The sequence below is a fragment of the Homo sapiens genome, chromosome 13 (assembly GCF_000001405.40).
Source record: "Homo sapiens chromosome 13, GRCh38.p14 Primary Assembly".
Taxonomy (NCBI): domain Eukaryota; kingdom Metazoa; phylum Chordata; class Mammalia; order Primates; family Hominidae; genus Homo; species Homo sapiens.
In genome coordinates this window covers 72881235-72896700 of record NC_000013.11, presented here as the reverse complement: position 1 = coordinate 72896700, position 15466 = coordinate 72881235, and the positions used below count along the sequence as shown (strand labels likewise).

The window sequence follows — 15466 nt, the reverse complement described above, 5'->3', positions numbered from 1 at the left end:
GAGTTTCTTTCTTCTACTTGTTCAATTCTATTGCTGAGACTTTCCAGAACATTTCGCATTTTTAAAAGCATGTCCAAAGTTCACTGAATTTTTGATTTTTTTTCTTTTAGCTATTTCCTTGAATATTTCTCCCTTCACTTCTTGTACCATTTTTTGGATTTCCTTGCACTGGGCTTCACCTTTCTCTGGTTCCTCCCTTACTAGCTCAATAACTAACCTCCTAAATTCTTTTTCAGGTAAATTAGGGATTTCTTGGTTTGGATCCACTGCTGGTGAACTAGTGTGATTTTTGGAGGGTCATGAAGAGCCTTGTTTTGTTATATTACCAGGGTTGGTTTTCTGGTTCCTTCTCATTTGGGTAGGCTCTCTCAGAGGGCAAGTCAAGGGCTGAAGGCTGTTGTTCAGGTTCTTTTGTTCCTCACGAAGTGTTCCCTTGATGTAGTACCCTACCCCTTTTCCTGTGGATGTGGCTTCCCGTGAGCCAAAATGCAGTGATTGTTGTCGCTCTTCTGGGTATAGCTACCCAGTGAGTCTACCCAGCTCCAGGCTGGTACTGGGGTTTTCTGCACAGTCTTGTGATGTGAACTGTCTATGGGTCTCTCCATCATGGATACCAGCACCTATTCTGGTGGAGGTGGCCTAGGAGGATTATGGCTGCCTCTGCTGAGTCATGCAGGTTGTCAGGGAAATGGGGGAAAGCCAACAGTCACAGGCCTCACCCAGTTCCCACGAAAACTGAAGGGCTGGTCTCGCTCCCACTGGCTCCCCCCAACACAACAGCCCAAGAGTCTGTTTCCAGGCCCAGAGTGAGTTGGGCTTGAAAACTTGCCCGAGGCTTTCCACCTCCCAGAGTATTTGGGGTGTCTTCCGGGTCCTGCAGGAGCAGTCCGCTTCCTTCAGAGGGTCTGTGGGTCCTCTCAGGATTGCTGGTTTGTTCTTGCAGTCGATCTGGAGCTAAAATTCACAATCTGGATCAACCTTCTAAGGCTTTTAACACAGATTACCATAATGTCCAGAAGGGCTGTTTCATTTTCTAACTCATGAGATTTCCCACTTAAGGGTACTCTTGCCAGCATTTTAAAAACAACACACAGACCTATCTAAAGGTAAAAAAAAAAGTTTAAATTTATAAATTTATATTTTGGTACTTATCAGTGAGAATTCATATTTTCATTTATTTATTTATTAGCAATTTGCATTTCATTTCTTGGAAATGGTCCATTCCTTTTTTTTCCCACTTATTTATGTAGAAGGCGAAGGCATGTCCTCTTGATAAAATATCTTTTAAACTTAAGGACATAAGCCCTTTGTCATATATAACACAAATACTGTTTTTCAGTTTCTATTTTGCCTTTAATATTATATATATTATTTTAAATATTATTTAAGTTTAAATATAAATTTAAAAATTTATGAATTTTATGAATTTATGAATTTTAAAATTTATGAATTTTAAAAACAAATTCAGGTTTTATTTTTCCTATATAATTTCTTTCCTGGCTTTCATCAGATTAACAGATTAATTCCCAAAGTAAACATAAGATATAATTTCATCTGTATTTACTTTAAAAAATTTTTTTGATGTAGTCTTGCTCTGTTGCCAGGCCAGAGTGCAGTGATGTGATCTCAGCTCACTGTGGCCTCGACCTCCTGGGCTTAAGCAATCCTCCCTGTCTCAACCCCCAAGTAGCTGGGACTACAGGTGCATGCCACCACACCTAACTTTTACATTTTTTTAGTAGTAGACGAGGTTTCACCATGTTGGCCAGGCTGGTCTAGAACTCCTGACCTCAGGTGATCCACCTACCTCAGCCTCCAAAAGTGCTGGGATTACAGGCGTGAGTCACTCACTGCCCCTGGATCATCTGTATTTACTTCTAATACCTTTATAGCTACACACACACACACACACACACACACACACACACTATATATATATATAATATATATATTATATATTGTACATATATGCAGCCTAGTAATCCATCTGAGTTTAATTTTGCTATACGGTATGAGGTATTGAGTCAACTATTTTCTCTAAATATTCAAATGATTATCACAGCATCATTTATTGTCCAATCCATACTTTCCCTACTGATTTGAAATATGACCTTTACCATGTATAAATTCTTAAATTTATGTAAATATGTTTTGGGGCTTTACATTTTATACCATTTGTGAACTAATTTTGTGTGCAGTTTAATTATTCTTGCCTCAGAACACACTTTAAAATGTGATATATATTTCCATTATTTCTTTTTAAAAAGTACTTTTAAAAATATTGACTATTCTGTATGTTTTTCCTTCCAGTTGTTCTATAGAATTATTTTCAGTTAAAAAATATGCTGGCATTTGATTAGATAGAAACATATCATATTATTTGATGAAAACTGAAAAAATGTATACTTCATTCCCTCCCAGAAACATGGTGTTTCATTTCACATGTCAGTGAAGTTCTATAGTTTTCTTCGTATACATTCTGCACTGTTCTTATTTAAAATATTCCAAGTCATTATATATTTTTGGTTGCTATTGTGAATGACATCTTTTCTTGCTTTTTTTGTTTCTCAACAATTCTAGTCCTTTTCAGTATACATCTTTCTGAAATACGTATTTCCTTGTTTTTTTTTTTTTTTTTTTTTTGTGCAGGATAGTGATACATCCTATAGGAGAAATAAAGCTCAATATAAATCTTGTACTTAGGGAGTTTACATGCCATGCTAATGTTGAAAGAAAAGCTTGTACATGTACCTCCAATTTTTTCTGATATTTTTCACATTCCAATTGACACTGTGTGAGATTTCTTGCTGTTTCCTCTTGCAGAAGTTGAACACGCTCACTTTCAAAAGATTTTAATTTACTTTGATGGAGAAATTCTGTTACTTTGCTTTCTGTACTAAGTTGTAGTTCTCTGTACCTGAAAGAAGCAGAATGGTTATGACACTCTAAAGAAAGCAGTCTCAATGATTTAAGTAATCATAAACCTTACTTCTATGTTTTCTACTCCCCCATATTTGTGGAGTTAATAATTTATATTTATTCAGCAAAGCTTTTATAAATAATTTAGGTAGGTATATGTATGAAAATAAGTAATTACAGTGAACATATCAATTAACTTTCACCATTCTACCCTTATTTTCATTCTTTCTAGCCAAAATAATTATTTCCTATCATTTTGTAAATGGCAAGAGCAAATTTCAGTTACATTGCTTAGAATGATTTAATTTCTATACTTCTCATAGGCCTTTTTAAATCTATGGCATTGTTTCCCAGCTTGCTATTTCATCCTAAGTCTAAATAATGTCAGATGGAGAAGAAAGCAATGAAATATGCATATTAAACTACAAATTCTTGAAACACTTGCAAAATAAACTTAGTACATATACATATATTTTGATATTACAAGAAAAAAATGTACAAACTGTGAAGATAAATATAGACCTACAAGTAGGCTATTACAACTCAGATAAGGAACATTCTCTTCATTCCATAGGTATAACCGGTAATAAAAACATTTCCACTTAACATATAAATCACCACATACTATAAATTTGAAAATACTTAAGGTTGATTGTGTTCTAACAGAAAAGCAAAATACACATACACTGTATCTTTTCAGGGAGTTATTATGAACCAAGTATAATGCTGGGTATGATATTAAAATTCATTTATTCAAATATTTATTAAGCTAGTCAGTATGCTAGGTAAGGTGTATACATTGGTAGATAAAATATTGTTTTTTAAAAGAACTTATAGTTTTCTGGGGAAAACAGGCAAATAAACACGAAAATTCAATGGTAAGTGCTTCAATAGGGTAATCCCTAGGTTCAGTGGGAACACATATGAAGGAGACCTAACTTGGTTTGTATAGAGGGGTGTGTGTGCGTGTGCGTGTGTGTGTGTGTGTGTGTGTGTAAGGCAGGAGGAGGTAAGGGGTGGGAAGTATTCTAGGGAGAAGAAATGTGAGTTATATGCAGGGCAGTGAAGCAGAGAGCATAGTCTGTTTTATCTATGGTATCTCATTTAATTCTTATAACGGATCTACTAGGTATTTTGCAGATGAAGAACCTGAGGCTCAGAGATGTCAAATAATTTCTTTAATAGGAACACACTGCTAGTAAATTTCAGGATGAAGCCCAATTTTATATTAGACTTCACAGCGATAGTCTTTCTGCTATTACATAATATTCATAACTGACATTTCTGAGGTAAGATAAACTTTAAAATGCTTTTTAAAGGCTATTTCACTCCTGTCAGTGAGTGAAAATACCATTCAAAATATAATCAGAGAAGATAGGCATTAGATATACACCATGGGCTACTTCAAGTCTCAGATCGGTGGAAGTTCCATACAATGCACATTACACATTAATATACAGTAAAGTTTTAAAGTGAATGTCAGTTTTTGTGACTAACTTTTTTGGAAAATCCTGGCATTAATTATATAAAACTTTTTACAATTTTATTAAAAAATACCTTTTTATATAGAAAAACAAACACTGATAAATTTTTTACTGAGACATAATTCATATACCATAAAATTCACTCTTTTAACATACACAGTTCTGTGGTTTTTAGCTTATTTACAAATTTGCACATCATTATCTAATTAAAAGCATTTTAATTACCCTACAAAGTCCCCATGTTCATTAGTCACTCCCTATTCTTCTCTTCATCCAGGCCTGGCAACCACTGATCTACTTTTTGTCTCTAAAAGTTTGCTTACTCTGAACATTTCGTATTAATGGAATCATATAATATGTGGCCTTCTGATGTTTTCAAGGTTCATTCATGTTGTAGAATGAATCAACATTTCATTACTTTTTATAACCGAATAACATTCAAATGTTTAACTACATCACATTTTGCTTATCCATCATCAGTTGATGGACATTTGGGTTGTTTCTGATTTTCGGCTATGATGAATAATGCTACCATGAACATTTATGTACAAGTTTTTGTGTAAACATGAATTCATTTCTCTTGGTTATATACCTAGGAACACAATTGCTATGTCATATGTCACTCTATTTTTAACTTTTTGAGAAACTGCCCAACTTTTTTCCAACAGGGTTGCACCATTTTACATTCCCATCAGCAGTAACGAGGGTGCCAATTTCTCCACATTCTTAACAACACTTATCATTGTCTGCCTTTTGATTATGCATTCTAGTGTGCGTGAAGTGGTAAAAAAAATACCTTTTACTAAAAAAAAGTATTAATTCAACATTTTATGACATACAAATGTCCCTGTACTCTTTGAGGCAAGTTGTTTTATAAATATAAATGAATTAAATGTGTGAAATCAATACTTTCTTTGTATGTGAGACTAGGACATACAGAGACCATATTATGAAATAAATTCTGGATAAGTAATTTAGAATGTGATATTGATCTTTAAGATAATTTATCCTAAAAGATTAAACTGCAAATTTTGCCTTTTTATGGATTCGGGATGTTGCTTCGGATATCACTGCCAACTCCAAATAGGTAATTAAAGACTTAGCTTTTAGCATCACCTGTTTTTATTCATTACATGGCACCTGAAAGTTACTTTTGGCACTAATATTATTTCCTTATATTGAAAAGTTAAACAGTAAACAATATTTAGACATGTAGAATACAGAAAATTTAACAGAAGTTAAACAATAAACCATCTAGGTGGTAACAAGAATTATCTCCTAAAAATTTGAATATAGTCTAAGTTTCATAAACTGAAGCTTTGTAAAATGAAATGGTAATTCTAAAGGACTAGTCTATTTCCATGTTGTTTATGTAAGTGAAAGGATCTGCCTCAAATTATTAAGCCTGTGTAAGTATTTTGTTAAACTGAACTCTGAAAATGTTGAACAAACATAGCTACAAAAGTAGCTCCAACAGTGAGGAACTGATGATGCCCAGGAGCTAGTTTCAGGTAACTCCCACTTAACTTGTTTTGCTAATATAACCCATCACATTTTACTTTGTTGACTCAGACTTCTCATCTCGTACTCTCAATCTGAACATCTTATTTGAGGTAAGTCAGTATTATTCATACATTAACAACTTCACGTTTGATATTCTAATTTATTAGCATAGTAACCTTAAGAGGTAAAATTTTCCACAGAGAATCTCCACCTATTCTCACAACCATCTCATCCCCAGGCCTAAAATTTGGCTCCATTTGTCCTTATGCTACATTTGTAACCGGGTTTTTAGTTTTCATAAGACCCAACCATATACCAAATACTACTTTAAAAATAACAGAAAGGACTAGAACTGATGGTTTGCTCTGAAGGAATATTCACTGCAACAGCACTTCCGGGTTTGGAAGTACAGGGAGAAAAAATGTTAAAGGGTGAAAATCAGCTATTACACAGGGAGCTACAAAGAAAGTAATCCATAAGAAGTGCTCTCAGGCTAGGATGAATTAAACTCCCAGTAGCAGGACATGTTCTGGGATGCTGAGAAATAACCACAGGAGAGACATCAATGTGACAGTGGAGTCTCAGAAACAGGAAAACATATTTGGTAATAAAAGTACTGGATAAAACATCAAATAACAGGTTTTCATAACAAAATTTACATTGGCAGTCTTTACATGTAGACTCTACAGGGGAAGTTTTACTTGTTAGACTCTGATGTATTAAGCCACGCATGTATATGGTTTATTCCCAACTCTTATTAACAAGGTCATCATTGGGTAACACAGTGAAAGACCCATATTTAACCCATTTTAACTGCTTATTTAATCTTTTTTATTTCAATGAGAAACAACTGATTTTTGAATTCTGTACACAAAATGTTCATGGCTTGTATTACATTAAAAATTTTGAACCCAGTTATCAAATCTCATTCGGTAAACAGGTTTTCTAAGGCAGAATACCTAAAAAGTACTAAAACTCAGTGGTGAGGTTCATGTAATGACCAGGGCCAGAATATGGTACTTGCATTAAGAAATTTAACAACTGATCCAGGTTGAAAGTAAGATAGTGCAGCAGCTGAGGCAAAGCATTTATCTGTATGTGGCAGGACAACTGTGTACAGATAAAGAGTATGGGAAGTAAGACCCTGCCCCAAGGTAGACTGGCAAGAGAAGTTAAGCAAAGTCACAAGATCTCCAGTACCAGTAAGGGTTCAGGGAAGGATTTTTAGTATTCAGTTATTAGGCAAATTAACTAATAACAAAGCACTGAAAGATATTTTCAACTTTATGTTGAAATATGGGGAGATGGGTCAATAAAGAAAGAATACTGGAGCTTAGAAGAATACACAGAAGTAGGTAGTCAGAGATAGACTGCTAAGTCTTTTGTGTGGGCAGGAAAGTTTAGTTTTAAACTCCACAAGCAAGTGGGGCAGAGGTTGACAAACTTTCTACACTTGAAAGAACTGTGAAACAAAGATGGGCCTAAATCTCCAGATACATTCAGTCTTTGGTAGATTCAGCTATAAGAAATTGGAGTCGACAAGGACAGAAGCTGATGTGTCTAGTCAACTGAGAATTCAATCTTGCTTATAAGGATAAGCTGTTTATATTTTCATAAATTTTCTTCTCTGCACAAGTAAATATTTTCAAATTTATTTTCAATTCTATAAATAATTTATCAAATCCACTGTGAGGCTAAAAACTCCAAACATTACAAATAAATATTACAGACTTCTTTTCTTTTTTTTTTGTATTTTTTGTAGATACAGGGTCTCACTATGTCGCCCAGGCTGGTGTCGAAATCCTGGGCTCAAGCCATCCTCCTATCTCAGCCTTCCAAAGTGCTGGGATTACAGGTGTGGGTCACTGCACCCAGCCCAGACCTCTATCACTACTCTCAATTCCATTTCTCCTTTGAGAGATAATCACTGTGACTAGTTTTCTGTGTATCTAAGAGGTTTGTTTTTTTTTAAACATGTATGTATATCACATATGAATTGATATATCAGTTTTTTTTTTTTAAACAAATGGCATATCACACATATTCTTCTCTGTAACTTCCTTTTTTCATGTAGACTGTCTTGGGATCCGTTTTTTCCATGTCTATACCTCATTCTTTTCATTTGCTATATAATAGACCACAATGTGGACATAATCATTTAATTAATTCCAATTTATTTAATTCTAAACGGATTAACATTTAGATTGTTTCAAAATGCTTCAAAGCATTATACACAGTGCTTCAAAGATCATCCTAAGAATTGCCTCCCATGCACAAGCAAACATTTAAGAAAGATACCATGAAGTGAAATTGTTGGGTCAAAAGATTTTAAATTTTGATACTGCCATTTTTCCTCTCAAATGGCTACATCAATTTAAAATGCAACTCTAAGTGTATGAAATATGGTTTCTCCATCTCCTCACCAATATTTGATATTATTCTCTATAAATGTTTGCTATGCATATTACATATGAATTATGCTTTCATATAAAATTTGCTCTCCTTCCCCCAATATTATCTTAAAAATCTTCTTATGTTATTAAACCTCCTTCAAAAATAAGATTTTCAATTGGCCTCATAATTTTCCATTCTCAACAATTCTTTCATTGTTAAATAGTTAACCTCTCCCCAATTTCTCACCCATTGTTCACAACAAACAGTATACCTAGTTTATTCACCCACCAAATTCAATGGGCTTTACTCTGAATGGTTGAATTTCCAAAAACAAAAACTTCTCTTTGAAGGAAGAAGACTGTTAAAATGAAAAGTTATTCCAAGAACTGTGCTGTAAAATAACTGAATTGAGCAATACCAACACGGTCGGAAAAAGCATACGGGCTTCTACTGTATTGACCTTGGTGGAGGGTATTCTTATTTGTGTCCATATATTCTGATGTGTTTCTTTTAAAAATAAAAACTTGACTCATTATATACATATTTAGACGTGAATCATGGATATATCTAAAATCACACAAGGACACTGAGTTATATAAAAAGAAAGGAAGTGTACATCCTGAAGAAATAAGAAATAATATCCCATACAGGTAAAGATATCTGGGAAAAGAGAGGTGAGAGGAGAAAATTACATTTTTACATTACATGGTTCAACTTAAAAATTAATTTTACTGAAGGCAACTCAAAAAATTTTTATATGAGAAATTTAAAAATAAAAAATTAAGTACTTTCCATTTAAATAATTTTGGCTTAGATATATCCTTTACTTCTCAAAACAAAGTGTTATTAGCTAAACAGAGATGAAGTATTACTACATCAGTGGCTAGTATATGGTATAGGTCTTTGGTTAGTTATTTTTTATACCCTGAAAATATTTGAAAGATCTCAGAATACAAAAATAAGCACACTTACCCTATTATACCCAATCTATAACTTCTAATTTTTTTACTTTAAGAAAACAAAAAGTATACAAGTTTTATGTAAACTATATTCACACACATATATATCCATATCATAACTTACAGAGAACATATCTGAAATTACTTTCCTTTCATGTTATTAAAATACAAAATGTTATCTTAGAGATTTTACTTTTGTGCATTACTGCTACCTATTGTTCTACCAACTGTTTTCTTTTGCTTTTTAGTTATCTGTATATTTAAAAATTTTAAATATATACCTGGATACTGAATCAAAATTATTTTTGATGAAAATTAGGGGAGCAATTACATTAGTTCAAAATGTACATATAAAATTATAGAGCCCACAGATTTCCAGTGAGTTGGAAAAAAAAAAAAAAAGAAAAACTATAGAGTAACACAGTTCTATTAACTCAGGTGTTTTCAATGTGAAATTTTCCAAATTGTAAAGAAACAAACTAGGAAAAACTTTTAAAGCCAACATTAATGTCGCAACAATGATGACTAAAGAACGTGAGAAAGGAATTTAAAAGAAGTTTGGGTATTTCTCCAAACGTTTCTGCCATTTAGATGATTTCTTCAACCAGTTCACTTCTCAGCTGCAATACTACATCTGTCATTTTTGGCTTACAAGCTAATTCTTAAATGAATGTGAGAGGTCTTTTTTTGCTGAGTTAAAAATGCTGAGTATGTTTGACAACTGTACCATGGATTTATAAGAATTTCAAGCATGTATTTGGAGTAATTCAATGCATCTATCATATCATGATCAAATAAAATATGTAATGCCATTAATAAAATAAACAACATGTAGTAATATCTGGCCATCTTATAAAGTCAAAAAAATAGGTACTACAGGTATGTGAAGAGTACTTAACTGAAACAAATGTAAGGAAAGGAATGTTGCCATAAAATAAAAGCATGTATGAGATAAAATTAGAGTGAAACATTTTATAACACTGTTATAAAATTTTTATAACAGTGTTATAAAAACTTTATAACACTAGGTCTGATTGGGTCTGTTTTCCCTTTTGTGTCAACATGACAACAAACCCTTAAAATTCAGCTTGAATTATCCTCCGAACCAAGAGTATTTATTATATTAGTGCTTCATAGCACTCAAAACTCTATTTCATGCAGCTTTTAACGTATATCTCAGTGTTGATCTACACTAAAGAAAAAAATTCAGAACATATAAACTGAATCTTAAAAAGTCATTAGAAAAAGCACTTTTAGGGGGATGCTTTTATGAAGAATAGTGTAAAGTATTAATAGTAGCACGATGGAGGCTAATCATGCTTTTGTCCTATTTTTCAGTAATATATAGCTCAAGAAAAGAAATGAATTTACTATGGTTAACATACATATTGTAAAAGGCAAAAAGGGATGTAAAAGTCATTTATTTAGATCTGCTTCCTAACAATAGGGAAGCCCTATAAATGTTAATTTATCCAAATTAGTGTTCTGAAATGGGCTAAGGAATACTCCAAAAAACTCCTGAATACAGCAACCAGAGTCATGGGTCTTTAAGCCTAGATGGTCTGGTAGTAAAGATGGATCATTAGCAACACTTTTTTCTTTTCTAAGGATGCGGATGACTCCTGAGGTTGACTTTACCTAGCCTAACCAGGGAGGACCATCAGAATCACTTGTGGAACTTCTAAGAACTCTAGATGCCACGGTTCTGCCTGAGACTTTCTGAATCAAAATTCTTGGGGGAAAACTTGGGCATGTTGAGTTCTGGATGATAATGTGAGCTAACAAAAGTAAAATGCTCACAACAACACACTGTACAATTAAAATACAAGTTACTTCAGTGCAGGAATCTTGTCTAATCCATCTTTGGATTCCTAGGATCTAGTAAATATTCTGGCATATTATAAGCTCTTAATGAGATAATGGTATATCCAGAATATTACTAACTCTTAATGCTTACTGAGTGAATGAATGGAGTCATAGTAACCATGAGGTTTTTAGGTGTTATAAAATTAGAATGCTAAATAGGTTCAAGCCAGGATAGAAAACATTAAAATATTAAATACTAATTTGATGAGGGGCAGTCTCTTCTGAAGTATGAAAAAACCAGTGAATTAAGATTATTGTTTCCAGGTTTAGGTGTCCGTAAAAGATGAAAACAAATTACAGAGAGTGAAGAAAAGAGAAGCCAAAATGATTATAGGTTAGGTATGTCCAAACTACAAAAAAGATTAAACTTCCAAAAAATATACAGTGTGGATAATGGCTAAGGTGGTAGAAGGAGACATGACAACATTCTAAAAATACTTACAAAAAAGAAATGCAAAAAAGGGAGCAAAAGTAGTGTGATATGACAGGCTCTATCTGAGTTCTGTAACAAGTTAAAATTATTACAAATTTTATACACAATTTTAGGAATCTATGCGTGACTCACTAGCCTACCTACAAGAATGTAATAAAGTTTATCATGAGGGCATACAAAACAGAAGTAAAGAAGACATAAATAGAAGACATAATAAGAACTAAATCACATAATAAGAACTAAATCACTATTTCCCCACCTCTTATTTCTCTCATTAGACTTAATGGACCAAATAATTACTTGTTAGTATTTCTGTTAAATTCTATCTTGGGATGTTCAAACAAATAGATAGTAAATATAATCTTATGTTAGGCACTCAGTAAACACATATTATGTTATAATTATATTTTTATTTTCTACAGCTGTTTATAAAATGAGAAAGTTTAAAAGTTCCAGAAAATGTCTACATACCTTGGTATTTATTTAACCATCTCCAACACTTCAGGATAAAAATGAAATAATAAAGAGCCTAATATAATCAAAGCAACTCAGTATTAATTTAATTAAACAAACTCTAATTTTTAACATCTTACATTATTATTTTGAAGAAATGTCTTCTCTCAAACATTTTCCTGGGCCTTGCTTTTCTCCCTACACTTTTCTTATGTCCTCCCCTTGCAGAAAGTGTTGCTTTTCCTCTCTAGGTTGGCTGAAATTTGGTGCTTTTATTATTGCTCTGTCACTTATTCCTTTTATCTCACTTTCCATTGTAACCATGACTAAGTGGGTTGTGAGAGGCTTGCGATATTAATAAAAAGCCAGTGATGAACTTTAAAGGCATTTATTATACTAAGAGGAAACTTGAATTGGCATGATGCCTATCAGGGTGTGTAGAGACCAATACGAAGGAAAGGAGTCTAACATTTGAGTGCTTTTATTTACTGTCATATACAGGTATAAACAGTTTTTTCATTTAATCATCTCCAAACTGCTAATACAAAATTTAGGATTATTCTTTTTAAAAAATCTTTAATTTTTATAGGTACGTAGTACGTATATGGGATATTTTGATACAGGCATACAATGTGTAATAATTCCATCAGGGTAAATGAGGTATCCATTACTTCAAGGATTTATCTTTTGTGTTACAAACAATCCAATTATACTCTTTTAGTTATTTTATGCATGTATGTATGTATGTGTGTACGTATATATCTGTATATTTAATAGAGACGGGGTTTTGCAATGTTGGCCAGGCTGACCTCAAGTGATCCTCCCGCCCCAGCCTCCCAAAGTGCTGGGATTACAGATGTGATCCACCACACCTGGTCTAGTTATTTTAAAATGTACAATTAGGCCAGGCGTGGTGACTCACGCTTGTAATTCCAGAAGTTTGGGAGGCTGAGGTGGGCGGATTATTTGAGGTCAGGAGTTTGAGGCCAGCCTGGTCAAAATGGTGAAAGCCCCTCTCTACTAAGAATAGAAAAAATTAGCTGGTGTGGTGGCACATGCCTGTGATCCCAGCTACTCAGGAGGCTGAGGCAGGACAATCACTTGAACCTGGGAGGCGGAGGTTTGCAGTGGGCAGAGATCATGTCACTACACTCCAGCCAGGGCTAGAGCTACCATCTGATCCAGCAATCACTGATCCAGTATAAAGCCAGAGAGAGACTCTGTCTAAAAAAAATGTACAATTAAATTCTTACTGACTATAGTCACCATGTTGTGCTTCCAAATAAATCTTATTCAACCTCCCTATTATTTTTGTACCCATTACCCATGCCCCATTCTCCCAACTACCCTTCCCAGTCTCTGGTTACCATCATTCTACTTTCTATCTCTATGAGTTCAGCTGTTTTAATTTTTAGCTCCCACAAACAAGTGAGAACATGCAAAGTTTGTCTTATTGTGCCTCGCTTATTTTACTTAATATAATGACCTCCAGTTCCATTCATGTTGTTGCAAATGACAGAATTTCATTCTTTTTTATGGCCGAAGAATACTCCATTATGTATATGTACCACATTTTCTTTATCCGGTATCTGTTGATGGACACTTGGGTTGCTCCCAAGTCTTGGCTACTGTAAACAGTGCTGCAATAAGTATGGAAGTGCAGATATTTCTTTGATATACTGATTTCCTTTCTTTTGGGATATACACAAAAACTAAAAATAGAGCTACCATATGATCCAGCAATCATTGATCAAGCATAAAGCTACCATATGATCCAGCATAAATCTACTTTTAGTTTTTTGAGGAACCTCCAAACTGTTCTCCATAGTGGTTGTACTAAGTTACATTCCCACCAACAGTGTAGGAGGGTTCTCTTTACTCCACATCCTCATCAGCATTTGTTATTGCTTGTCTTTTGGATAAATGCCCTTTTAACTGGGGTGAGACGATGTCTCATTGTAGTTTTGATTTGCATTTCTCTGATGATCAGTGATATTGAGCACCTTTTCATAACCCTGTTTACCATACGTATGCCTTCTTCTGAGAAATGTCTATTCAGATCTTTTGCCCATTTAAAAATTGGATTATTAGATTTTTTTCCTACTGAGTTGTTTGAACTCTTTATATATTCTGGTTATTAATTCCTTGTCAGATGGATTGTTCGCAAATCTTTTCTCCCATTTTGTGGGTTGTCTCTTCACTTTGTTGACTGTTTCCTTTGCTATGCAGGAGGTTTTCTACTTGATGATATCCCATTTGTCCATTTTTGCTTTGGCTGCCTGTGCTTGTGCGGTATCACTCAAGAAATCTTTGCTCAGAACAATGTCCTAGAGCGTTTCTCCAATGTTTTAGTAGTTTTATAGTTTGAGGTCTTAGATTTAAGTCTTTAACCCATTTTGATTTTACCCTTGTATATGGCAAGAGATAGGGGTCTAATTTTATTCTTCTGCATATGGACATGCAGTTTCCCAGTATAATCTATAGAAGAGACTGTCCTTTCCCCAATGTATGTTGTTGGCAGCTTTCTCAAAAATAAGTTTGCTGGAGATGTATGGATTTGTTTCTGATTTCTCTATTTTTTTTTTCCATTGGTCTGTGTGTCTGTTTTTATGCTGGTACCATGCTGTTTTGGTTACTATAGCACTGTAGTATATTTTGAAGTCAGGCAATGTGATTCCTCAGTTTTGCTCTTTTTGCGTAGGATAGCTTTGGCTATTCTGGGTCTATTGTGGTTCCATATACATTTTAGGATTTTTTTTTCTACTCTTGTGAAGAATGTCATTGGTATACTAAGAGGGATTGCATTGAATCTGTAGACTGCTCTGGGTAAGTATGGACATTTTAACAACATTGATTCTTCCAATCCATGAACATGGAATATATCTTTCCATCTTTTGTATGTTCTCCTCAATTTCTTGCATCAGTGTTTTATAGTTTTCATTGTAGAGATCTTTTACTTTTTTTTTTTTTTTTCAAGATGGAGTCTTGCTCTGTCACTGACGCTGGAGTGAAATGGCATTAGCTCGGCTCACTGCAACCTCCACCTCATGGGTTCAAGTGACTCTCCTGCCTCAGCCTCCCAAGTAGCTAGGATTACAGGTGCACACCACCACGCCTGGCTAATTTTTGTATTTTTAGTAGAAACGGGGTTTCACCATGTTGGCCAGGCTGGTCTCAAACTCCTGACCTCGTGATCCACCCGCCTTGGCCTCCCAAAGTGCTGGGATTACAGGCATGAGCCACTGCACCCGGCCACTTCTTTGTTTAATTCCTAGGTATTTAATTTTATTTGTAGCTATTGTAAATGGGAATACTTTCTTAATTTATTTTTCGGATTGTTCATTGTTGGCATATAGAAGTGCTACTGATTTTGGTACACTGATTTTGTATCCTGCAACTTTACTGAATTTGCCCATCAATTCTAATAGTTTTTTGGTGGAGTCTTTAGGTTTTCC

The 15466-nt window shown here is 34.1% G+C and overlaps 1 protein-coding gene across 16 annotated transcripts in view; it reads right to left on the bottom strand.

Moving 5' to 3' along the window:
* Positions 1-15466, bottom strand: part of PIBF1 (progesterone immunomodulatory binding factor 1) — a 234329-nt gene that overhangs the window by 119761 nt on the left and 99102 nt on the right. For 14 of the 16 annotated variants that reach the window (NR_146205.2, NR_146206.2, NM_001349655.2 and 11 more), the window contains one exon: positions 2752-2917. The exons of the other annotated variants lie outside the window; for them this stretch is intronic. Coding sequence is in view for 12 of the 14 variants with exons in the window: in NM_001349655.2 (NP_001336584.1) it covers positions 2752-2917 (166 nt within the window). In the remaining 2 variants the exon portion in view is untranslated. The remainder of the gene's footprint in view (positions 1-2751; positions 2918-15466) is intronic. 16 annotated transcript variants of the gene reach the window in all.